General features: G+C 47.7%; 1 long non-coding RNA gene across 5 annotated transcripts in view, besides 2 other annotated features; it reads right to left on the reverse strand.

The window, feature by feature from the left end:
• Positions 1-1,734: 1,734 nt before the first annotated feature.
• Positions 1,735-25,959, reverse strand: part of LINC02940 (long intergenic non-protein coding RNA 2940) — a 33,906-nt gene continuing 9,681 nt past the window's right edge. For 2 of the 5 annotated variants that reach the window (XR_007067868.1, XR_007067869.1), the window contains exons 4-7: positions 22,044-23,168; positions 9,129-18,107; positions 7,211-7,408; positions 4,953-5,810 (exon numbers count right to left, since the gene is read on the reverse strand). This is a non-coding gene — a long non-coding RNA (long intergenic non-protein coding RNA 2940). Of the gene's footprint in view, positions 3,878-3,974; positions 5,811-7,210; positions 7,409-9,128; positions 18,108-22,043; positions 23,169-25,959 lie in introns of those variants that run through there. The other 3 variants (XR_007067867.1, XR_007067865.1, XR_007067866.1) reach the window with 3 other exon arrangements.
• Positions 1,949-2,118: an enhancer, noted in NCBI's record as "active region_18464". NCBI's record gives its function as "activates an Ori minimal core promoter by ATAC-STARR-seq in GM12878 lymphoblastoid cells {active_cell/tissue: GM12878}" and the evidence as "EXISTENCE:reporter gene assay evidence [ECO:0000049][PMID:35858748]".
• Positions 5,817-7,584: an enhancer, noted in NCBI's record as "VISTA enhancer hs1516". NCBI's record gives its function as "enhancer in: hindbrain (rhombencephalon)[4/5] | forebrain[4/5] | limb[4/5] | tail[4/5]" and the evidence as "EXISTENCE:transgenic organism evidence [ECO:0001131][PMID:17130149]".

The raw sequence follows: 25,959 nt of genomic DNA on the forward strand, positions 1-25,959 counted from the left end.
TGCGTTCTCATTATTTAGCTCCCACTTATAAGTGAGAACATGTGGTATTTGGTTTTCTGTTTCTGTGCTAGCGTGCGAAGGATAATGGCCTCCAGCTCCATCCACGTCCCTGAAAAAGACACGATCTCGTTCTTTTTTATGGCTGCGTAGTATTCCATGGTGTGTATACACCACATCTTCTTTATCCAGTCTACCATTGGTGGGCACTTAGGTTGATTCTGTCTTTGCTATTGTGAGTGCTGCCGCAATGAACATTCCCTTACATGTGTCTTTATAATAGAATGATTTATATTCCTTTGGGGATGTACCCAGCAATGGGATTGCTCAGTTGAACGATATTTCTGTCTTTAGGTCTTTGAGGTATCGCCACACTGTGTTCCACAATGGCTGAACTAATTTATACTCCCACCAACAGTGTAAAAGTGTTTGAAAGGGGTTACATTCCTTAGCCCCATCATGAGGACCTGGTTCAGTGAGCAGAGTTGAGGGAAGGTAAAACAGGACCTAGAAATGGCCACAGCTAGAGCGCCACCCGAGCTGCCAGGACCAGGCTGGACTCTGCACACGAGGTTGTCCGGGGCAGGGCAGGGCCAGGGCATGCCTGGAGCTGCCACCACTGTAGCACAGAACACGGGGTCTTAACCTGGGTGAGGAGTCAGGAGGTCTGTGAACTTAGATAGGAAAGAAATTCCATTTTTATTTTCCCTGACTTCTAACTACATGTTGGCCTTTTCTTCCTCGCAAAGTCTTAACCTGGGTGAGGAGTCAGGAGGTGTGTGAACTTAGATAGGAAAGAAATTCCATTTTTATTTTCCCTGACTTCTAACTACATGTTGGCCTTTTCTTCCATTAGGAACACAGGCAATGAAGCACACTGTGGGGGACACACCTGTGATTGTCGAAATCACGGATATTTTCATACTGCATTGCAGCTGTTGCCAGTATCATCAGTGACTTTCATCCTTCTCTCTGCTTTGTAATTATGGTGGTTATAAGGCGGACAACTCAATCTTGTCTTAAGCTATTAATAAAAAACATGTGCACTATCATATCACAGTTGGGAGGGCGGGGTGGGGATTGTTACATTTTGTTACATTTTGTTAGCTGTATTTCAACATACTGGTTTCCTTGGGAAGCCCATGTACTTTTTTTCATGCATTTGAAGTCTGAATTCTGAGAAAGGGTCCATAGGCTTCCCTAGGCTGCCGCAGGGGTTCATGACACAGAACAGGGTAAGAGCCACTGGCATGGACACTAGAAACCTACACCAATGCTGTTGTATCACTTTTCAGACAAGCTCTGTGCAGTCGGAATTTTTTAAAGATGCACTGTCACTTGAGGAAGACAGGTGATCTTCCTGCGGCACAAATAGAAGCAAAGAGATTTCTCTTCTTCTCTGTAGAGCAACACAATTGATAAATGGCCGATAATCTCCACCAAATTGGCAGCAGTAGGCTGCCCGAAGGCAGCAGGCATATTCGTCTTTGTGAATTGTTTTACTATGATGCTGTCACATTTCCAGGAATAAGACGGTTAAAATGATATATTGTTGTGGTTTGGCATTTGCAGCTTTGCTCTGACTTCCCTGGTAACTGCCAACATCTGCAAATTATTATGTGCTTAAAAAAAAAATCAACCGCCACCGCAGGCTGCCCCCACGGTCCCTGGCTGGGCCAGGCCTCCTGCCAGGCCACAGGGCAGAGTTCTTGGACCAGGAGGCAGCAGGGTCAAAACCCAGGTTGCCTAGGAAGCCCCCAAAGACAGTTATGGATAGAGCTGGGAGCCCGAAACACATGCGGCAGTCTCTCAGTTTCCAGGTACCGGTTCTCACATCATCCATGCATGTGTTTGAGGAAAAACAAAAAAAAATTGATGGTTGCCAAAAACAAAAATGCTTCCATATCAAAGTTTATCAGTGTCAATGTCAAGAGACTTCTGGTTCGTAGACTCATTTTGGCTTGAGGCCACCAGAAGTGAACTCTGGTTTCTAAATGCAGAAGCAGAGGCACTGGCCGATCATGGAAGATGCAGGGAACTGTTCAAGAGGCCCAAGCCTGGTGCTCAGAAACTTGGCAGGATCAAGCATCTCGCCCAGGAATTCATCCCCTGCTTGTCTAAGCCGGCTGGCTCTCGTGACTGACTCGGAACAACAGAGCAGATGTTTGCGTGGGAGGCAAGCCTCACCCAACATCTGTCCTGCGGCGGGAAGGCCTGGGTGTTCACAGATAGAGCTGGAGTTCCCCGGTGGGTGGCACAGACAATTAGCTGGGGCTGCCTCACATGTAATCTAATTACAGGGGAAACAGGCTCAAACACCGGGTGATAAGCAGCGCAACTGTTTCGGGTGACTCTGTAATTTTTCCTCCATTAATTTTCTCCATAACGCACATGATTGTCATAAGGGTTAATTAAAAAGAGCGTGAGTGGCCTCATGTCACATGTAGCTGGACCAGAAAGTGTTGAGTACCTGCTCATGCGTGCAAGAGGAGGAGGGAGGAGCACATCACTGAACTTCACATGAAATTGGATACCCGGGATTAGAGACAGTAGAGGGTTTTGGTGAAATCAGATACACATTGCAAAGCAGCACACCGCGATAATTCAATTTGGATATACTGACATGGACTGTATAAACAAGGAGAATGGAAGGCAAAAGGGTGATTCCAGGGAGGCTTCCTGGAGGAGGTGAGCTCTTCAAAGAGGTCATGTGCACAGGTAGAGGAAAGAAATAGAAAAAAAAAAAAAAAAGAGCACTAGAGCCAAGGACAGGAAGGATCACAACCATAGGGACAAGGATCCAAAACCATGAGGTTAGAACCTGAAGACAAGGAACCAGACTCAAGGAAAAAGTTTCCTTCAAAGATAACGGCTGATGGGTGCAAGGAGGTATCGAGGGATAGAGGATGTCCAACCCCAAGCTATAAGCAAAAGTCCAACAACTGATATCTCTTGTTTGCAACCCATCTCAAAGCCACCAAGCCTTGTGTAAACATCACCCAGAGTGGCCAAGACACCAAGTGAGCAGAGCCTGGTGACATCTAGGATTTGCACATAGCAGGCGATGAATAAACCCATGCTGTCTGACTTCGGAACTTTGACCTCAAGTTCATCACCTCTAGTATTTGTGGATGAAGTCAATGATAGAGTTAGTTCTTGCTTGTTCATGAAGCGGATGGTGCATCATTCTAAGCAATGCATAACATATCTGTTTTTAAAATGTTTTTATATGCATCTTGGATCACATTAAAATTACTTTGCATTTTGGACCATACAACAACTGATGGGGTTGGGAGTAGGGAGTGGACACTCCAGCCCTTCCTGCACTGAAAGAATGGATGTGCAAGCCACATGCTCTAAGAGGGTGGAGGCATCCTCTTACCTAAATACTAGACTGGCATCAGCAGCTGCAATCCCCGATCTAGTTGCCTTGCTGGCAGTATCTCAACCAATTGTTTTAATTTGAGACTTCATAATGACAATCCAAAGCTCACTTGATTATGATTATCACTGAGGAAGGCATTATTCAGAGTGTAGCAAATAGATAATATAGCTTTATCTACACAGCATCGCTCAGAGTGCAGCAAGTAAATCATATGGCCTGATCTACACACACACAAACACACACACATGAAGTCAGGAATATCTGACAGTGCAGTTCTAGTGTCCCCAAGCCTGTGATGGGTGTGCAAGATAGCGCCGTCCTGGGTCTGGCCCGATCCACGGGCGTTTGGATTCTGGGTTGGCTCATCCCCTGGGCTTTCTCTGCTTCTGTGGATCCCACTCCAGAGAGTGCTGGCATCGCCTCTTTCTTCAGGCTCTGAAGCCTCTTTCAATTCAGAACTTGAAATTCATTGCAGAGAACCCTCAGTCGTTTTGTCTGCAATCAAGTGACGGTGACTGCATTAGTCCCTGGGGCTGCCATAACAAAGCACCACAAACGGGAGGCTTAAAACAACAGGAATTTATTCTCTCACCGTTCTGGAAACCAGAATTCTGAAATCAAGCTGTCGGCAGAGTTGGTTCTCTCGAAGGACTGGGAGGGAGAATCTGTTCCCTGCCTTGCCTTTAGATTCCGCTGCTTCCAGCAGTCCGTGGCTGTCACATGGCCTTCTCCCTCTGGAGTGTGTCTCTGTGTCTGTCCTCCTCTTCTTGTGATATCACGAGTCATATTGGAATAAGGGCCCACCAGACACCAGTATGATTTCATCTCAGCTAACTGCACTGGCAGTGACCTTATTTCCAAATAAAGCCAAATGCTGAAGCAGCAGGGGTTAGGACTTCAATGTGTCTCTCGCAGGGACACAATTGAACCCACAGCAGTCAAATACATAGTCCTTATTAACCATACATGTAGGTCTGCTTTCTGCTGTGTCTAACAGATGCGCTTTTCTGTCCGAGGTTGAAAATTAAGGCAGCTTCCTCCCTGCCAGGGTACCCCCTGCACAGGCCCCTGCCACAGCTGGTGGTTACTAGAAGTCTTTCATACTCTTCAGTCCTGTGACAATAATTTCGTGTTTCCATGCACCCATATACAGACCCTAGCGCTTTTGGCAGGAAGAGAAGAATTTCTAAGTTGAGGCTGTTTAAAAGCGTCTCCCCAGTGAAGGGTCACCAGATTTAGCAAATAAAAATACAGGACACCTAGTTAAATTTGGATTTCAGATAAACAATGAATAATTCTTCAGGATAAGCATGTCCCATGCAATATTTGGAACACATTTACACTATAAAAATTACGAAAGTTCATGTTGCTGGGTGTCCTGTATTTCATCTGGCAAGCCTACACTGCCGGCACCAGAAAGTCCTTGAAGTGAGTCTCCTGATCCTTCTCCACCCCCACCCTCAGTCCTGGCTCCATCTGCCCTAGAGGCTGAGGGCTTTCTATGTAACCCCCATGGAGACAGGGCATTATAAGATGCAAGGATGTGAATGGAAAAAAATCACAAGATCTATACATCTGGAAAGGGGATCTTTATTTCTTCTAAAGGATTACAGCCTGCAGGGTGGCCATTCTGACAGGCCGGGAGACGCAGCCTCTGGCAGAAACAGCTGGCAGGCACCTGGAAGGAGGCGGTGTTGCAGCAGGAGCCTCATGCTGAATTGAGCTGGCCAAACATACATATTCAGGTTCCAGGAGGAGCTATGAATATTCACAAAGAGAGTCCTGAGCCGTGCCCACTGAACATGCACGTTACATGCGTCCCATGTTCACTTTGGGGTGGAGGCTTCACATTTAAAAGCATTACAATGAGTCCCTACACGTCAAAAGGTGAGGCAGGGACTCGAAGGCATACAAGTGTGCAGCTTCTATAATCAGCCTGAACCAGGTCTATGGTTGGTGGTCTCTTACCAGGAGACTGAAATCAACCTCTTGTCCAATCAAAGCTATAGTCACAGCTGTGGAACGGGGTCAGCCAGCGTCTGCAGGTGGATGAGCTGCAGTCGTTTGAATCTCGGGGCCGGTGCGTGTTTAGCTGCTGAAGAAAAAGAAGACGCTGTGGTGTGAGAGCAGAGTCCGTTCTCTAAGTGTAGAGTGCGCGGCTCGACCCTTACCTGGCGTGGCCTGAGGTGCTGCTTATAATTTGGTGTCTTATTGCCATAAGGAGTCTGTGCTGTCGGTCTCGTGTCTCTATTTTAGCATGACAGCCGATCATCGTCGTTTAAACCACAAAGGGGAGGGACTGTGATGAAGCGTGTCCGATCGCCCGTCCCCTCATGGCTGGGAGCTCAGCTTTCAGGTTTCTCTGGGGTCCCCTTGGCCAAGAGGGGGTCTGTTCAGTCACTTGGGGACTTCGGATTTTATTTTAGTTCTGAAAGAGTAGCAAATGGGGACCAACATGGAATTTGAAATGTATAGGAGGTAATTCCCAAAGTAAACCGCTCCGTGGACGTGATTCAGATCTGACTCCATGACAGTGCTGTCCCCTTCCCTGCCACCGTACTCCTCAAGGAGCTGGACGCGTCCTCGCAGGAGTGAGAGCTGCCTCGTCCACACCCACAAAGAAAGAACTCCACTCACATATTTCCCTGCAAATAAAGGGGCTCTGTATGTAATTAACTGACAAAAACGCGGGTGGAATTGCAGGTTTGGAAATAAAGTATAAGGCTCTATAACTCAGCCTGGCTCCGCACACACAAGCCGTCAACTGACACCTGAGCTGGACTGAAGCGGGAAGGGGGCTGGCCCCTGGTCAACACACACTGAACCCAGCGGCCAGTACACATCCTGTTCAGCTGACATGGGCTCTGCAGAGAATTCCAGCTCCCTCTATTCCCCACCCCTCACACAGAAACCTCTTATCCAGTTTGAGAGAGGTGTGTGCATGCATGTATGCACGTGCGTGTGCAGGCTTGTGTGCGTGCCTAATGAAAAGCAGCTTGTTCAGAGTTAGTCAAAGGCTTTGGGAATGAAACGCGGCTTTGAGCCCTTCCACAGCAGCTTTGAGGGGAGGCGTGTGTTGGTCAGAGCATGAAACCAGACGCCTGGAACACCGCCCAGCCAAACCCACCCGCAGCTCTGATGCAGGAGCTCGCACAGAGCATGACACGTTTCTCTGGGTTTGTTTTTTCTTTATCTACAAAGAAGTAGAAGGAGAAGGGAAAAGGATAGGAGTCCTAAAAGGCTTATTACTGCCCACGAGGGTCACTGGAATTGACTCAAGTCAGTGAAAGGCTTTGAAGATTAACGGGCCCATATAAATGTTAATTTGTTATGAGGTTTCTGCTAGGACGTTAAACAGAGCAGGGAAGACTTGCCTATAAAACACAGCATGCAGTCCTTGGTTATAATTAATGCCTATAAAGGTCTCTATATTGGATTCAGTCGAGGGCCTGGCAGGAGGGCAGTAAGGAGCCATTCCAGCTCCTTTTAGAGGCGAAAGTGGGGCTGTGGACGAATAGGTTCCTCAGAACAGTCACTGCCTGGGAAGCAAAACCACGGAATGAAAAGCTAGGGACAGTCCCCTAACGTGGGGGTGGGGCAATCAAAGGGAGCCGCCTTTGAAGAGCCCTGAGTCCCTTGAGGGGAAGGCGGCAACAAAGCGCCGCTTGTCCACCATCACCTGCAGCATGCTTTCCTTAATGAGGACGAGACCCAGGTGGCTCGGTCACTGCAGCTCCCTGGAAGGGACCCTCAGGCCCCCAAACTGGGAAGTCCCCACCTTCCCGCAGACTCAGGATGCTTCTTGTGGGAAAGCACACCCACACTTACAGTGACAGCAGTCACGCTGACCTCAAAAATCCTCCAGGAAAATCAAAATGACACCAATTCACAGGATGTTCCCCAAAGTCCTAGTTTCACAAACTGGAAAACAGCGCAACCCAGCTGTGGTCCAGAGGTCCTGGTGACCTGGCAGCGACAGAATCTTCTCAGGCTGCCTCTGTGCTGCCCTTCTGTGCTGGGATGCACCTGTTGGGGAAAGCTGGGGTTAGGAAACCCAGTGGGTGAACAGGGAGAACTCAAGAACCAGCGAAGAAAAGCAACAACAGGCATATTCACATTTTAAAATGCTTCAGGTGCAGTTTACATACTCTGTAGAGGTTGGTAAAAGTTACACAAATTATGCAAATATCATGTGGCTCACCTACTGTCATGGACAATATTGTGCACCCCACAAAATTAATATGTTGAAGCCGAACTCCCAGTCAGGGGTGACTGTATTTGGAAGCAGGGCCTTTAAAGAGGCGATTAATTTAAGATGAGGCCGTTTGGTGGGCCTTAATCCAATCTGACTGGTGTCCTTATAGAAAGATACAGAGACCCCAGGATGCATACAGGAGGGGCCTCTGCAAGCTGAGGAGGGGACTCAGGAGAAAGCAAACCCACGGGTGCTTTGACCTTGAACTTGTGACGTTGAGCTTCCAGAACTCTGAAAAATAAACTCCTGCTGTTTAAACCCCCAGTCTGTGGTCCTCTGCCATGACAGTCCCAACAAACCAATACAAAGACAATCAGAGAGCCAGAGGCCACGGGGCTCCTGCCGGTGTGGGTGCCTTAGGCAACACGCCCCATCCCTGGGGTCCTGGGCGCACCAAACCCACCCCTGGCTCCTGGATACCACCTCAGGACCACAGCTCCATTCATCCAGAGGCCAAGTGGGCAGCCTGAGGCAGTAAGAAGAACACTCACTGGAATGAGCCGTTCAGGGCTTTGGGATCCCCTCCTCCAGGCAGCCTTCTCTGGCTGCAGCCACCCTCCTCTGAGCCAGGTACCCTGCACTACTCCTCCAGGCTCTCAAAGAACCCTGGAGTCCCACGTATCAGAGCACTTTCCACACCGTGTGCTGACTTCCCGGCTCCCAGAGCCCAGCCCTAGGAGATCCTTGTTCTGGGGCACGTTTCTGCCTTTCCTTATCCCTATCTTTCTCCTCCTCACTCAGCACCTGGCCCTCGATGAGCAGGGTTCTCATATTTAACAGCTGTCCACTGGTCATGACACCTGGGTGCTGGAGGGAGCAGGAGCATGGGCACTGAAGCCTGCTGGGCGGGGGGTCCAGATGCTACTGAGCGGAGAAGGAAAGGTGTCTCGGCAGAGTGAACAGTGTGTGTGCCGGCCCAGAGGTGAGCCGCAGCAGCTGCGGTGGCTGGAGAAGTTCAGGAGGGTTGTGGAAAAAAGCAAGAGGAGGTGGGGAGGGCTTCAGAGGGGGCTGGAGAGGTTGGTAAGGGCTAGGCCACCAAGGACCCTATGAGCAGTTCAGGGCTTTAGGATCTACTGAGAAGGGAACAACCCTAGGGGTTCTCTGCAGGTTGCAAGCCCTCTGGCCCCCCAGTGGCCAGGGGTCTTCAAATCCCATAACCCCCACCCATGGTATTCTGCCCCTAAGGATGTCCACGGATGAGAAGATTGGCCTTCCAAGATTCTCCATCAACCCCTCAGCGAGGCTTCAGCAGCACTGAGCCCAGCAGAGACTTCTGTAGCACCCGAAAGCCTCCTTCTGTCTTGGGAGCCTCATCTGATCTGCTGTATCATGCGTCCCTGCCCTCTCCTCTCTGGGGCCTCTTTCCTTCCATCATCAGGGGAACTTGCTCCCCTGAAAGGAGAGGGCCAAGATGGGAACATTGTGCTATGTCAGCAGCCAGACACACAGCCCGCTGAGCTCCAAACAAAAGAAGTCCCAGGACCCAGGCACCTTTGTCAAAAGACAGCCAATGTAGCCTCTGTTCCAGGAAGGCTCCAGCCTGTGGCCTGTGGGGGTGAAGACAAGCTCCTGCACAATCTGGCCCATTGGATATAAAACATCTATTTGACTTCGGAGAGGGGAAAATATATCACATTGCTAAGATGTCCTTGGTTGCAGTGAATAGCCCAGGGAGAGGTGGAACAATTCATTCCAGAGACCAGCATGAGTGAGGAAGTTGACAAGGACAACGTGGGGCTTTCCAAACAAAAGAAGGAAGAGGCCAAGATAAGGATTTGGTACATTTGGCCAACAAATGGAGGAAATAATCATTTCCAAACCATTCTTGAATGTGCATTTCATCCATATTTATAAGAATGCAAGCCTGCACACGCTTTCCACCCTGTGTCACCCCATCATGGGCAGGGACTTGGTTTACAGACTTTTATATTTGCAGATGGCATCTCTCGTGCACATACATTTTGCGTATACTTTGACATAAATAAACCCGGTTTGGTTTTAAGAAATTTTAAACAAGTGATGTAAAAATATTGAAATAAGATGCTAAGGTTTATTTGGAGTTCTCCTAGGATGCTGAAGAGGTGGAAAGAATAATTTCCAGAATGAAATAATTCCTCAAACATGTTAGACATTATATCAACTCTAGCACAATGCTATGTATGCAGCAAGAGGGTGATAGTATCTGTGATTGGCTGAATTAATTAATCAATCTTAGGCATTCAACAAATATTTATTAAACAGTTAAATGAATGGAGGCAAGGGATAGGATTGGTGCATTTAAGTTCACATGTTAACAAACCCCCATAATAAGCTTCAGCAGTTGTACAATTTGTTGTTGGCATCCTAAGTTCTGAAATGCAATATATTCTACATTTTCTCCCCCTTATTTCCTCTCCCAAAGTTTCTAAAAAATGAAACAAAACATCCGTGTGCATGAGTGATCCCTGGCAACCTGCCATAGTCCACATTCCTTCTCTCTGAGACTCTCTCTGATATTCAGTTCTTGGCCTCCACTTGTCCCCAGATCATGTCCAGACGGCTGCAGGCTCCAAATGCCCAGAAGTCAGCTAATCCCAGGATCGGCAACAAACCTTGGCTCTGGGCAGACCTCTTACCTTTTCAAGAGCTTTTTCATTGGGTCTTTGATTTTATTTCACCAACTCTGTGAGTCAGGACAGGCATGTTCTCGTATTCTCACTCTCTTTCATACAGACACATACATGCACAAACATGAACACTTACCCCACATGCTCATGCTCACCTCATCCAAGGAACCCAAGGCCCTGGCGTCCAGAGAATGAGAGCTCCCGGGGCTAGCTGCTGAGGGTCAAGGCCGAAACCAGCTCAAGATTTCCTTCCCCCACCAGTGCCGTCCCTGTCCCCATGCAGGGCAATGGTCCACCCATTCCCAAGAAAAGGCCTCCAACTCCCTTCGTCCAGTTCCCTGCCCCTGGGCCTGTCCTCATTCTCGCTCTGCTGAAGTTGACACAGGCCTCGCTCCTGTGCAGGGGTGGGACGCGGTGGGGGAGCTACATTTAGACAAGGAAAGGGCCCCCAGGCTTCTGAGTGCGCGTACACACAGACAGGCCTCTGGGACATATTCTGGATGGCTCTGGGCAGATGGCTGTGTTTCCTCTTTTTTCCAGAAAAAAATTCCAGACGACGCAATGATCACAAATGCCAATATCCTAGTAATTGATAGGACTGGATCACACTATGTGAAAAGAAAAGGCGCCCCACAGGCTTTATATACATGTGCGCCGTGCACGCTCTCTCTGTCTCTAGCTCTGTCTCTGTGGACCTGTGTCAATGCTCTGTTGGTCTCTGTCTCTCTTTGTGTGCTTCTGTCTCTCTCTGTGTGCCTCTGTCTCTCTCTGTAGCTCTGTCTCTCTCTGCCTGTGTTCCCCTATGTCTCTGTCTGTCTCTGTCTCTCTCTGTAGCTCTGTCTCTCTCTGCCTGTGTTCCCCTATGTCTCTGTCTCTCTGTCTCTGTCTCTCTCTGCCTGTGTTCCCCTATGTCTCTGTCTCTCTGTCTCTGTCTCTCTCTGTCTCTGTCTCTCTGTGTGTCTCTCTGTCTCCCCTCTCCCTCTCTCTCTCTGTCTCTCACACACATATCCCTCACTGTGCGTCCAACTCAGCTCAAGCCCGTCTCCCTTGCACTTCCTATAAGCCCCTCTTGGAATGGCCTACCCAGAAGGGGCACTCAAAAGTGGGGACGCATTAACTTTCAGAATATCTGACCTCGCCACATGACCTCAGCCGGACTCTGGGTCCATGCAGGGAGTGGAAAATATCCCCAAGTGTAGCTGAGATGAGGCCTTGGAGTTAAGAGGTGAGCAGAGGAGAAGAAACCAGAGAAGAACATTAGAAAGAAGAGATTTGGAAAACTTTCTTTCATTAAACAAATGCCCGCCATGGCCAAGCACCTTTTGTATGTGAGGTGCTGTTCTAGTCACCGGGCCTGCGGCAGGAAGGATGAGACAGCCCACCCGCAGGAGGCTGACTGGAAGGGAACAGCCTCGGGAGACAGAGAAAGACAGGAATGAAGCGCTGGGCACAGCCAGCAGTAATACATGCAGCAGAAGAATGAAGCAAGGTGAGGGAAGAAAGCGTAGGGGGTGCCTGCAAACTTAAGCAGTGAATTCATCCACCAGGGCTGCCATCACAAAGTCTGCAGACTGGGCGGCTTAAACAATACACATTTAGTTTTTCACACTTGTGGAGGCTACGAGTCTGAGATCAAGGTGCCGGCAAAGTTAGTTTCTCCTGAGGCCCCTCTCCTTGGCTTGCAGGTGGCCTCTTTTCCTCGCCAGGTCTTCAAACGGTCTTCCCTCTGTGTGTGTCCTAATCTCTTCTTATAAGGACACCAGCCGGATTGGATTAGGGCCCACCCCATGACCTTCTTTTATCTTAATTACCTCTGGAAAGACCCTATCTCCAAATTCAGTCACATTCAGAGGTGCTGAGGTTTGAGGCTTCAGCCTATGGATTTTGGGGGACACGATTCAGCCCATAACAGATGTGGTGCAAGCTGGACACCCTCTGTGTGGACCCGCAGACCCACCCTTCCTGCTTTTCTTCTCTGCCCTTTGCCCCAGGACACCGACCTACAAAATGCATTTATGACTCCCTGCCTCCCAGCCCCATGAAGCGGGAGCACATGAAGACATGCCAAGGAGGGAGGAGGGTGTTTATCCCCGGCCCCTCCCTGCTTGCTTGCTTCAGGCAGGCAGCATCTCTCTACCCTGAGGCAACAGCACCTGTTAGGAGATGCACCTGCTCCATCCAGCTCTCTCCCCAGGTTCTGCTGATGATAATGGCTGCCTCCCCTTGGCCCTTCAGACAGAGCACTGGTAAGTTCTCCCCACTGTCTCTAGACCTGGGGTGTTGCAACAACCTAAACCCTGCCCCCAGCTTTGTAATAGTACCTTTCCTAAATTCTACTCTTAAATTGCCACATCTTAGTGGGCCATCCGACCAATACAGGGGGATCAGGCAGGAAGAATCAGAGAAAGAAAAAGGAAATCAAGAAAAAATGGTGTCCCAGAAGCCAAGATCATTTCAAGAAGTGGGGCATGATCTTGTGATAAGAGTTGCAGAGGTTAAGAACTTGAAGAGAGGCCATGCATGTAGGAAGATGTGGGGGGCCCAAGCAACCCCAGTGGTTGGGGCAGTGGAAGGCAGGATGCTCATCAAAGCAAAATAAACTTAGTTAAGGAGAAGTAGGGGCAGATTTCATAGTCAGAAAACACACAACAACCTTATCCATGCCACAGTCCACATTCAACAAGCACTTGTTGCCTTGAAGCCCTCATGACTCCCCAGTCCTGCGTGCAGGACACCCATGAATGTGTGTGCATGTGTGTTGTGTGTGTGTGCATGCGTATATGGACACATACACAGACAAGTGAATGACCTGTGATATGGGGTTTTATTCAATTACTGTATATAGTATACAGATATCTAACTCCCAGAATGCAAGGCTGAGCAATAAATATTAAATAACAATAAATATTAATCTAGCTTTGACAATAAAGCCTTATTTATGAAAGCCAAACCTCTCCAAAGATATGTTTTATATTACTCCTTAATTTATGACACAATCTTTATATTTTTGTTATTTTGGCACTAAAGCCCTTTCTTTTTTAATATACTTTATTTTTAAAGCAGTTTTAGGTTCGCAGCAAAACCGAGCAAAAAGCACAGAAAGTTTCCATGTACTCCCTGTCCCCGCCACCCCACATAAGCCTCCCTCACGATCAGTATGCCACACCATAATGTCCAGTTTTAAAATATGCTGCAACCCATTTAAACAACCATAGAACGTTCCCAAAATCTTCCTGACAACAAACAGCATGAATACGTGCCTACTGGCCGGGAGTGAGAACCAAGAGGTTGAAGACTTTCTTCCATATTGTTCTCAAAGCCAAGACTTAGGCCTACAGCAAACATCCAGCCACCTCCCTCTGCCTTGGCCGTTCTGTCTTGATAACCACAGCTGTATACTTCAGCAGTTTCAACCACTTACTTCCCAAGCCTACAAAATCTCCCTTTTGCTCCAGTTGCAAGGGGGGAGGCATTGGCTAAAGCAAATCATAGTCTCTGTGGGTACACCTGGGAGGCAATGAAACGCAATAGCTGAATGCCCCCATCCCCACAGAGACAGAACTATAGTAGCCTGCCATTCACTCACACTGCAGAAACATCTTTGTCTAAGCATAACTTCGTCCAGCCAGTTACAGGAACAAGTGGCTTCATCTCAAAGTAAAAGTTAAAAAGAAAAAAAAATTAAAGGAAACTGGGATCTTTTGGCTCAACTAGCCAGTCTTGCATCTGGAACTAAAATCAGAGGCCAGCCTCAAAAATGGACAAAGGACTTGAACAGATGTCTCTCCAAAGAAGGCATACAGATGGCCCGTAAGGACCTGAAAAGACCTGCAACATCACTAACCATTAGGGAAATGCAAAGCAAAACCACGATTTACTACCGCTTTTCAACCATCAGGATACCTAGTGGGTTTCTTTTTTTCCATTCCTTTCTTTAAAAAAAAAAAAAAACTTTTATTTTAGGTTCGGGGGTACCTGTGGAGGTTTGTTACATAAATAAACTGGTGTGTCATGGGGGTCTGTTGTACAGATTATTTCATCACCCAGATATGAAGCCCAGTACCCAATAGTTATCTCTTCTGCTTCTCCTTCCTCCCACCCTCCACCCTCAAGTAGACCCCAGCGCCTGTCATTTCCTTCTGTGTTCATGAGTTCGTATCATTTACTTCCCACTTATAAGTGAGAACATGTGGTATTTGGTTTTCTGTTCCTGTGTTAGTTTGCTAAGAATAATAGCCTCTAGCTCCATCCATGTTCCCACAAAAGACATGATCTTATTCTTTTATATAGCTGCGTAGTATTGCATGGTGTATATGTACCACATTTTCTTTATCCAATCTGTCATTAATGGGCATTTAGGTTGATTCCATGTGTTTGCTATGTGTGCATGTGAACAGTATTCCATGTGAACAGTGCTGCAGTGAACATTCGTGTGCACGTGTCTTTAAGGTAGAATGATTTATATTCCTCTGGGTATATACCCAGTAATGGGATTGCTGGGTCGAATGGTAGTTCTGTTTTTAGCTCTTTGAGGAATCGCCGTATTGCTTTTTACAATGGTTGAACTAATTTGCACTCTCACCAACAGAGCATAGGAGTTCCCTTTTCTCTGCAACCGTGCCAGCATCTGTTATTAATTTTTTTTACTTTTTAATCATAGCCATTCTGACTGGTGTGAAATGGGATCTCACTGTGGTTTTGATTTGCATTTCTCTAGTGATCAGTGATGTTGTGCTTTTTTTCATATGCTTGTTGGCCGCATGTATGTCTTCTTTTGAGAAGTGTCTGTTCATGTCCTTTGCCCAATTTTTAAGGGGGTTGTTTTTCTTCTGTAAATCTGTTTAAATTCCTTATAGGTGCTGGATATTAGACCTTTGTCAGATGCATAGTTTGCAAATATTTTCTCTCATTCTGTAGGTTGTCTGTTTACTCTGTTGATAGTTTCTTTTGCTGTGCAGAGGCTCTTAGGTTTAATTAGATCCCATCTGTCAACTTTTGCTTTTGTTGCGATTGCTTTTGGTGTCTTTGTCATAAAATCTTTGCCCATTCCTATGTACAGGATAGGATACCAAATATTTTTTAAAAAGAAAGAAAGAAAAGAAGAAGCGTTGTCAAGGATTTGGAAACATCCGAACACTTGTGCATTGCTAGTAGGAATATAAAGTGGTACAGTGTCTGTGGCATGGTAATTCCTTGAAAAATTAAACATGGAATTACTACATCATACAGCGATTCCACTTCTGGATATCTACATTAGAAAATTGAAAGCAAAGACTTGAACAGATATTTGCACAACAGTGTTCATTATTCACAATAGCCAAAAAGTAGAAACAACCCAAATGTCCATCGATAGATGAATAAAATGTGGTACATACATGTAATGAAATATTATTCAGCCTTAAAAAGAAATGAACTTCTGACTCATGCTGCAACATAGATGAACCTTGAGGATATTATGCTAAATGAAATAAGCCAGACACAAAAGGACAAATACTGTATAATTCCATTTACATGAGTTACTGAGAATAATCAAATCATAGAGACGGAAAATGGAATCGTGGTTACCAGGAGATGAGAGGAGAAGGGAGGGAGGGGGTTGGTGTGTCATGGGTACAGAGTTTCAGTTCTGCAAGATAAAAAAAAGTTCTGGAGATGGATAATGGTGGTAGTTAGGCAATAGTATGAATGTCTTTAGTGCCACTGAATTGTACACTTAAAAAGGGCTAAAATGGTAAATTTTATGTTAGGTATTTTACCATGATTTTTTTTAAGTTCACTTAAAAAACATCAGGAGCCTGCACCCCTTTTTGCACCAAGTCTTCCCATCAGAGCAGGGACAGGCCAGGGAGGCTGCCTGTGTCACAGCCACAGGAGACAGTGGTTTCAGATGGGGATGGGTCCTGGAGACATGGACAACCTCATTCTCTCCTGTCCAATCTCTCACCAGGGATGACACGCAGCTAAGTGGTGGAGCCAGCAGCCAACCCAGAGACCCTTGTCCTTATCCATCTTCTGCTGTCTGTGCCCACAACCCAGTCTCCACCACTGTGCTGAGGTCCGTCTACTCAGGCCCAGGCAGATCATGCACCATACATTCCTCTCTGTTCCTAGGTTCAATCTTTGCCTCAAATGCCCTTTGTTCTCTCGAGCTGGAAAAAGAACATCTGAGGAAGATATTGATGGCTGACAGCAGGAAAATCAGAAGTATCTTTGCAAATTAGAAAATAAAGTGAAAGACCTCATAGATAACACTTTCTACAGAAACTCAGCTTTGTTTCCCTATTCTCGTCCCATCATTGTTACATTCCTGGCCCAGCTCACCCTCGGCACCGGGTGGCACAGCCCAGGAGTGAAACTGTTCCTCACCTCGACAAGCCGGGGGGACATACAATCCACAGAGCCCCCAGTTTATTTGGCCTCCCCGTAGGTTTCTGCTGCAGCCTGAGTGAGGTTTACATTTATAAGGAGACCCTCATTCTCAATCTTATAAGGTCCTCTTGGAATATTCCAGACAGGAATGGAGCTGACAAGATGCTTGGAAGGGTGCAGGGCTGCACGAAGCCACCTGTCCATTTCCCCACCCTGAGACAGGGTCGCAGTGGATGAGCACCCGCTTTAGGGACATTGGAGGTGGGAAGCCCATTGTCACTCCTGTGTTGACATCACACGCTAGAAGGGAGTCTGTTTCCTCTCCCTGAATCCCTGACACTGCAAGGAAGTTATTTCCTCGAACTCTTGGGAAGTAGGGGAACTCCTGGCCACCAGCCTTTGTTTAACAGCCCTTCCTGTTGTCAAAGAGTGATGCCCCCACCGCCCCCTGGCTCTGCTGCAAAGCAGGTGATTTAACTTTGAGTCATCTGGGTGACTTCTCAGAAGCCACAGAGGCTCACCATGGCCTGTCACAATGGGAAGACAGCTGAGTGTGAGACACATGGAGACCCAGCCTTGACCACCACTGGGGAGGACAAGCTCAGGAGAAGGAAGAGGAGTGACTGGGAGGGAGGAAAACACAATAGGACAGTGGCTCCACAACTTGAGCGCCACAAAATCCCCTGGGGCCTGTGAGAACACAGATGTTGGGGCACCTCCCCAGCATTTCTGATTCAGGAGGGCTGGGCAGGGCCTGAGAATCTGCATTTCCAATGAGTCCAGGGTGGCGCTGAGCCTACTGATGTGGGATTGGATAAGGATGCCCCGTGCTGGACATTTCTGGAAGGGACCCACCCACCCTCTACTGCCTCAGGACCAGCCTTGGTGCCCACCCTCCTCCATCCCCACCTTTGTGCCCACAGCAGGGCTGAGTCCTCCCCACACCCACCAACCACCCCATCTCTGCTGCTGCTGTGCTCTGCTCCTCGGACAGTCCTGGGTATTTCCGTGTCCTGCTCTGCTCTGCATCTCTGAACGCTGCCCCAGGCCTACACCCTTTGCAGGGGCCCTGACCTCCGTGATTTGCCAGTTACCTGCTCCTTATAAAGCCCCCACCTGCAACCTGACTGACAGACTCAGGGATCCTCGTACCTGCCTGTGATGTCTTTTCCTACCTAGCCTGACCTCCCATCTGCAAAACCCTCCCATCCTTGGATGCCCAGCTTCACATCCTCCAAGGACCCTCCTCTCCAAGACTTTCCAACTCCCAAGCGCCCACAGAGCAGTCACTGTTTCTCAACTATGACTTCTTATGAGTAACACTGAAAACACAGATTCCTGTCTGTACCAAAAACCTTTAAAAATTAAGAATTAGCTGGGTGTGGTGGCGTGTGCTTATAGTCCTGGCTACTCCGGATGCTGCAGCAGGGGGATCGCTTGAGCCCAGGAGTTCAGGGTTGCAGAGATGTTGCCACTGCAGATTGAAACCCTGTCACTAAAAAAAAAAAAAAAAATACATAAAATAAAATAAAAATAGGTAGATAGATGATTGATAGATATGAAGGTATGATATAGAGATATATGCCATACTTCATTGTTATTGAGTGCGTGCTTTTGCAAACTCATCCCCTATGCACACTGCCCCACCTCTCCAACCCAGATCTGGAATACATCCCCAGGCAGGAGCTCCAATAAGTCACTCATCTATGTTGTATTATAGTAATTGTTTATACATATACAAACATAAATTTACACTTATTGTTACTATTTGTGTGTACATATGTTTATGGTAGGCAGAATAATATCCTCCCCGCCTCCAGCAAAATATGACAAAATAGGGCCATCTCCTAATCCCTGGAACCCATGAATATGTTACTTTCCATGGCAAAAGGGACTTTGCAGATGTGATCAAGGTTGAGATGGGAAAATTCTTCTGGACTATCCAGGTGAGCCCAATCTAATCACACGAGCCTTTAAAGTGGGGATCCTTTCCCCGATGTGGGCACGGAGAGGTGTGAGCATGGAAGGGTCAGAGACAGACGAAGGGGCCACCAGCCCAGGGGCAGGAAGAAGCCGGGAAGCACAGGAGAACAGAATCTCCAGAAAGGAGAGCAGCGCCGCCACCTTCACGTTAGACCCAGGAGACCTGGGTCAGATGGCTAGCCACCAGGAGTGTAAGATGCTAAGTTTGCATTGTTTTAAGCCACTGTGTTTGTGATAAGTTGTTAGAGCAGCAGCAGAACTAATACAGCGTGTGCGTGTGTGTGTGTCTGCATACACATGTGTGTGCACTTGTATCCCTGCTATGCCAGAGTTCTTAAAGACAAGATGCATGCTCAAATCACCTTTGTATCCCTTATGGAACCCAGAAGGAACGTCACAGTGTGAACATATTAGTGTAATTCCACCCATATATTAGTAATTCTTAAATGACACAGAATGTACATTGACCGGGGCTGACATTCATTTCTAAGCCAAGAAAAATGGTAATGAGGTGCAAAGAGGAAACCTGTTGCCCTTGGGATTATCAAAATCTCTCACCTCAGAAGAGGCTTTCTGGGAGACGTCATGGCCCAAATCAGGCCACAAGGAACTGCGTCTCCGGCCTGTAATTATTTCCTTTGACAATGATGCGCTAGACTCATGCTGCTGCCAGTAGAACCCTAGAGCCACTGCACCTCCTTCCAGGGCCTCCACCTCCCACTGATCCGGCCCAGAGGCAGAGCAGCAGCTACAAGGGCCAAGTCACAGCATGGGGCATCAGAAGACCCCAGGCCGGGCCCTACCCTCTAGCCCCTCACCCCTCTCCTTGCTGAATGTGGAAGCCAGCTAAGTCCAGGCAGGTGGTTGGAGGGATAGAGAAGGCCCAGGGAGGTTCTGGGTGCCAGATGCAGGAGAGGAGACCAAAGGTGGGGAGAAGAGGGTGTTCCCAGGAAGGAGACGCCCTGCTGGGAAACCCTGACCCCAGCCAGTGGCCAGGATGCCAGCTCTCTGCTGAGCCTAACAAGCCTGGTCGCACATACAGCATCGAAGCCCCAGTCCCAACCAGCTGGGCCAGGTGTGTGATGACATCACGGCTCTAATGACCCCGCCAGGTGACCAAAATCAACCTCGGGTCTGGGATAAAGAGTCACTGACATGATAAATACTGAAAGCCAAGCCGATAAGATGAAATGGGTGGGTGGTTTCCCTTAAAGAGTTACTGAAGGGTTGTCCAAGCCTTTGACAACCTTCATCAGATGAACAATTATTGGTTGCATGGTTGGTGCGAGCCAGGTGTGGATGCAAAGGTAAGCAACACGTTCCCTATCTAGGAGGAGGCAGAATAATTAAGATTTCTTGGGAATAAAATCTGACCCAGCTCCTAGCACCTGCTCAACAATCTTAGCTCTTTTATTTACATTTATTCAGTCTCAGATTTGCTCCCCGCTTCCTGTCCCCATCCCTCAGCTTTTTCTTTTAGAGCAAGCATCTAGTCCTTCTCTTGATACCAATGCAAATAGCCGAGACCCTTCCATTCATGTAAGACCCCATCTTCTTCCACTGCTAAAGAACTCTTGACTTAGTACAACATAAAAGACTTAAATTGTTTTCGGTTTATCTACATGAAGCCTGGCACTCTAAAATTTCCAAAGGATATGGAGTTGCTTTGTGACCTTTTGCAACTTCCTTTCTTTGCAAAACAAAAAAAGGTGTCCATCCTTCAAGCAGCCAGTTAGGTGGTTGATAAATATCCGAGTTCTAAGAAAGAGGATTACCAAGGGAAGAGATAACTTCTGCACCTCCTCACAAGAGTACAGTGTGCATGGGATCCTAATTTCTGAACCTGGGTCTTCCATTTCTAAGTCATTCTAATGGCAGATATTATGAAAATATTCTCACTCCCCCACATTGCTCAGAATCTTCTTGTCATCAGATAATGTCTCATAGAGGAAGGAGTCATTTTCTGGGAGCTCTAACCACAAAAAACATCTGGAGCCTTCTTAGAATCCAGGGTTAAAGGTCAGGGTGACTGGAACATTTGGGATGGTCACATCGTTCCTCTCCTAGCTTTACGTCAGGGAAACGTGGTACCACAGTGTGATTCGGTACCACAGTGTGATTCAGGGCTGCGTGTGACATCAACCTGCATGCTCTGGGGGCACGAGTGTGCCCTCATTAAAAACAAGCCCTCAAGAGATGAGAACCAATCTTTGGAGACACCAGCATTAAATGCCAGGAGCTTGGCCGTTGGCTGTAGGAATTTCCCAAACAGCAACATCTGTTACTAAGGAAACGACAATATCACTGCAATCCTCTAGCAGCTACTGTTTTACAGCACGGACCAGAGAGACAATAGTCTTGCACCTGCTCACTCACTCTGTCCTCCCAGCAGCCTTGCCAGGGATATGTGTATGACATCCTCAGCACACCCTCGGATGTGATATTGTGTGAATCAGCCCATTCCTCAGATGAGGAGACTGAGGCAGCTGGGAAGTGTACCCTGTTTGGGTCACATAGTGAGGGGCAGAGCTGTGACGACGAAGGTCTCCCACTCCAGCCCCCTCCGTAGAGCCCTGTCCACGGCATTCAGGCCAACTCTCACACCCGCTGAGTGGCTGTTTCTCAGAGTGTTTACATCGGTTTCCTCAGCTCTGCAGACCCGGCCTCCTCTACTTCCTCCCTTGCCTTTCTCTCTCCAGCACACGCTCACAAAGAGGAAAAAGGCCACCGCAGTAAGCCAAGCTGTCTGTCCAGCATGGACCATGGGCCGACACCACGCCAGGCCTCCTCTTGAACCTATTCCCTACAGAGGCCTTGCCAGCAGCCACAGAGCCTTGAGCAGGAAGCGGGCGGGGGGGGGGGGGAGGCGGGGGGCCCGGGGGGGCAGGGGGATTGGCAGGAGGGTGGGGGAGTGCCGAGGCTGGGCCATCACCCTGCCAGATGCTGGAAGGCACTTGCTTTTATGCTTTCAGAGGCAGGTCCCTGGAAGAAGGTCTCCCCAGCTGTATGCATTTCCTAGGGCTGCTATAAAAATGACCACAAACTAGGTGTTAATTCTTTTGTTCTTGAAACAACAGAAATTTATCCTTTCATAGTTCTGGAGGGCAGAAGTCTGGCAACAAGGCAGTGGCAGGGCCACGCTCCCCTGAAGGCTCAGGGAGGAACCTTCCCTGCCTGTCCCAGCCACCATCCTCGGCATTCTTTGGCCGTGGCTGCACCGCCCTCATCTCTGCCTCTAGCTTCACGCGGCCTTCTCCCTGTGTCTCTCTCCCCTTCCTAGAAGGAGAGCAGGCATTGGATTTGGGGCCACTCTAATTCACTATGACCTCATCTTGACTTAACATCTGCAAAGACCCTGCTTCTAAATAAAGCCACATTCTGAGGTTCTGGTTAGACATGAATTTGCGGGGGACATTACTCAATCCACTTAGCAATGTCGTGTACTCACCTCCTCTGCCAGGCCTCTCTGGCAAACAAGCAGGAGTCTACCTGTCACCTTCCAACTCAGGAAGGTGGGGCTTGGGTCCCAGCTTCCCGCTTCCTGCCCCCATCCCTCAGCTTTTTCTTTTAGTGCAAGCGTCTAGTCCTTCTGTTGATACCGACGCAAATAGCCAAGACCCTTCCATTCGTGTAAGACCCCATCTTCTTCCACCGCTAAAGAACTCTTGGCTTAGTAGAACATAAATGACTTAAATTGTTTTTGGTGTATTTACATGAGGCCCGGCACTCTAAAATTTCCAAAGGATATGGATTAGTGGATGGGATGGGGGGATGAAAGGACATCAAGTTTGACTCCATCCATACTTGGGGAACAACTGCAAAGTTTCCTGGGGGTCTATGTAGGCTGGAAAAGACATGGTCCCAAAGTTACACAGCCTTCATTTCTCAGAGATTCAGTCTTGCACAGAATGTCAGGCAACCAGTTTTCCAACTTCAGGTTTCTAAGTCGATTTCTTCTCAAGTTCTATGCATCTGTCTATTGGAAAGTCCTGCAGCTGGGGTCGGACGTCCCGGCTGAGCTTCAGGACTTTATCACATTGGGTGAGCCCATGGGTCCTCAGTCAGAGATTCCACGGTAACATATAGAGAGATGAGGGTAGAAACGTAGCTCACTGTGGCAACCCCATGACCACCAATGGGGACCGCCACAGTGAGAGTGCTTCCCAAGCTCCACGAGCCACCCAACCCTTCCTGGTCAGATCGGATCACCCCAAGTGACTGTTGAGATGCACTCAGTGGGTCAGAAAGGCAAGTGGGTGAGAGCAGATCACAGCCCTCCAAGAGCAACGTTCTCTAGGAAGGAATGATCCAGAGAACAGAGTGGGTGTCAGATGACTTGGGAGAGACACTGTTCCGTGTAGTTGAGGAGATTCAAGATTTAAACTTGAAGAGCTGAGTCAAGTATGAAATGGGGCTTCTGTTTTTCCACTGGGTTTATTCAAACAGTAGGTCCCCTGCTTCTTCCAGCCCTTTCTGTGGTCGAAAGACATCATCGGTCATGTACTTTCTGTTTCCTCTGTCCTGCTGGCCCCCAGGTTCCAGGGAATCCTTCTGCCCTCCAGCAAGATGACACCTGATGAAAAAAAAAGAATATCGAGTCAGTTCAAGCTGTGTGCATCTCCACAGCACAGCTAGCTGCCCCAGGGGACTGCTCAACTCACTTTGTACTTGAAACATTTCTTTTTTTAACCTAATCTAAATTTAGGAGCTAGCCAACAGAATAGAATAACAGGAAAACTCACGCCAAAGCCCTGGCACCTCCCACCCTGTCCCACCCAGCTTCCAGCTTCCTCTTTCCTCAGCCAAGAACCCTGACAGCCTGACCCTGCTGGCAGAAGGTCCTGTATTTCCCAGCAGCTGATGGCGAAGATTCAGAGCCTCACACTGGAGCCCACCCTGCAGAGCTCCTTCCAGCTAAGGAACAGGGGCCAGAGAGCTGTGCACAGCCCACGGCCCCTCACAGAGGGGGATCCCAGGCAGAAAAGGACTCAAAATCCAAATCTGGCCATTCACAATCCCCTCCCTGCATTTACTTCCTCATTACCCTTACAAGTATAGAGAGAACAGAATCGTTTCTGTTTTAGCATAATGTTTGTTAGACAGGTTGTACTCCACGGGTGTGAATTTTCTAGAAAAATGTTTCCATTTTATATTTCCATTCAGTTGACAATATAAATTTTAAAAATTAGTCTACTTTCATAAATTCACAGTTGAAAGACAGTTTTGTAGAATAAGACTAACACAGTATTTTACAAATGAGAAGAGAACCCATTGTTTTTTCCCCCTTTAAGTGGGATCTAAGCATTACTCAAATTTGGAAGAGAGAAAAAAAGCAGCGTTAGAATAGAATCGATAATCCAGTGGTCCTCAAGGTGTGCTCTTGGGGCCAGCAGCGTCAGCATCACCTGGGAGCTTGTTAGAAATGCAAACTCCTGGGCCTCACCCAGATCTTCTGAATCAGAACTCTGAAATCCGTGTTTTAACACGCCCTGCAGGGAATTCCGACACAACCTAAACCTGAGAACCGCTGTTGCAATCTAATGAATATTCAAATTGTTATGCTAGAACCTGGAATTCTAGCATCTCTTAGCACATATTTTTAATTGAACCTAGGGCGTTTCTACACATATTTTCACCTGTCACCTATTTCCCTTTGGAATGGGTCCCTTTGACCTATTATATGATGCCTCAGATCCCAAGAGAGATTTCAGCACAACTCCTGGAGTTGCTGTATGATGGAGTAACTACAATTCACAGGGTTTGCATCATTCGCTGAGCAGGTACCAGACACCAGGCGCTGCACAAATTCATTTAATCCTCCCAACAACCAATGGGATTTAAAATAACAAACTAAAAAAAAAAAACCAACAACAAAAAACACTCTATTAACTTCATTTCACAGATGAGAAAACTGAGGCCCAGAGAAGTTAAGCATCTTGCCCAAGGTCACACAGCTGATTGGGACAGAGTTAGAGCTGGAGCTCACGTTGCCTGGTCCCCATACTCACAAGATGTTGACCCTGCAGGAAAGAAAAATTATCTGGGATGCTTTCTAGAACAGGATAGACATCTAAACCTCTAGGGACTTCAGAGGCAATGAAGTCCACTCCTCTATTTCACAGATGAACATACTAAGGCCCAGGGTTCTTACAGGGCAATGGTACAGGGTCCCCCAGCTGGCTGCAGCAGAACCAGGACAACCCTGAGGTCTACCATACTGTACTCTTCACTTAGAAAAGCCACAGTCCCTGGGTGGCAGATGGAGAGGACAGGGCTTAGGTCACGCGTCCACAAGCACTTGGCCCACTTCAAACGCTTTCACGGTTCCCAAAATGCAAGAACTAGAGGCCTGACCTCATGTGAACAAAGCATTTTTGAATTCTAATTAATAATGAGCCACATAATTATCTTCTTTGGAGGAGCATATTTAACAGGAATAACTCCAGCGCTAATAAATCAGTTTTTTCTAAGGAAGTCACGACTTTTCCCACCTTGTCACCTCAGAGAGGATTTCTGCTCTAAGCTGTTTGAGCCTGTTCCTGGTTTCTATGAGGCAGAGAAGCCAGACTGTGCTGGTGGAAACCTTTTTTTCTTTTTCTTCCTCCGCCACCCTGTTGCTTGTTTTCAGGTGCTCTTGGCCCCCCGACCCTGCTCCCGTCTGTGTGTCTTCTGCTTTTACAAAGGGCGAGTTTCCACTGTTTCTTCTGCAATGCTCAAACATGATTGGCGTCCACCCCTCTCCCTGTGTCCGGAACTGGTGTTTGAGCCGTAACCATTTCCACAGCCTTGACTATTTTTCCCTAACAAAATACACCTTTGAATAAATGGCCTTATTGTGCTACCACCTTGGCCTCTTGAATGACAGTTTCTCCTCATGTGATTACCGTGTAGCTTTCACTGGAGATTTGTTTTTCCCAAAACAGCCTCTGGGATAAAAGCCCTCTGGCCCTGCTGTGGGGTCACTGGTAGCAACATGCCTGCCTCGTGCCCACTTCCACACAAGGCATGGGGCCATCAGCCATCATCCCAGCCCTCCAAGAGGCCTTGTAAATTCCCTGGGAAGACAAGTCATATGCTGAATTCAGGAATATAATGCATCATTCAGTAACTTCAGTAATCCCCATCCTGGGGGAGCCACAGAACGGGGGTGAGAAATCACAGAATTACGACAAGGTGTCTGGGAACTCAGGTGTCCAACAAGCATTGTCTGAAATCTGAACAAATCTGATTGACTGTTTTGCAATAAATATGTAGGTGCTATTAAGGCTAGCAAAACCCCAATTGCCTTAAAAGGGTCAATAATTTATTTATAACACCTATTTGACAATAGTTATTTTCTCAACCAACAAATACCAACCTATCCC

Source organism: Homo sapiens, chromosome 21 (genome assembly GCF_000001405.40).
Source record: "Homo sapiens chromosome 21, GRCh38.p14 Primary Assembly".
Lineage (NCBI taxonomy): Eukaryota > Metazoa > Chordata > Mammalia > Primates > Hominidae > Homo > Homo sapiens.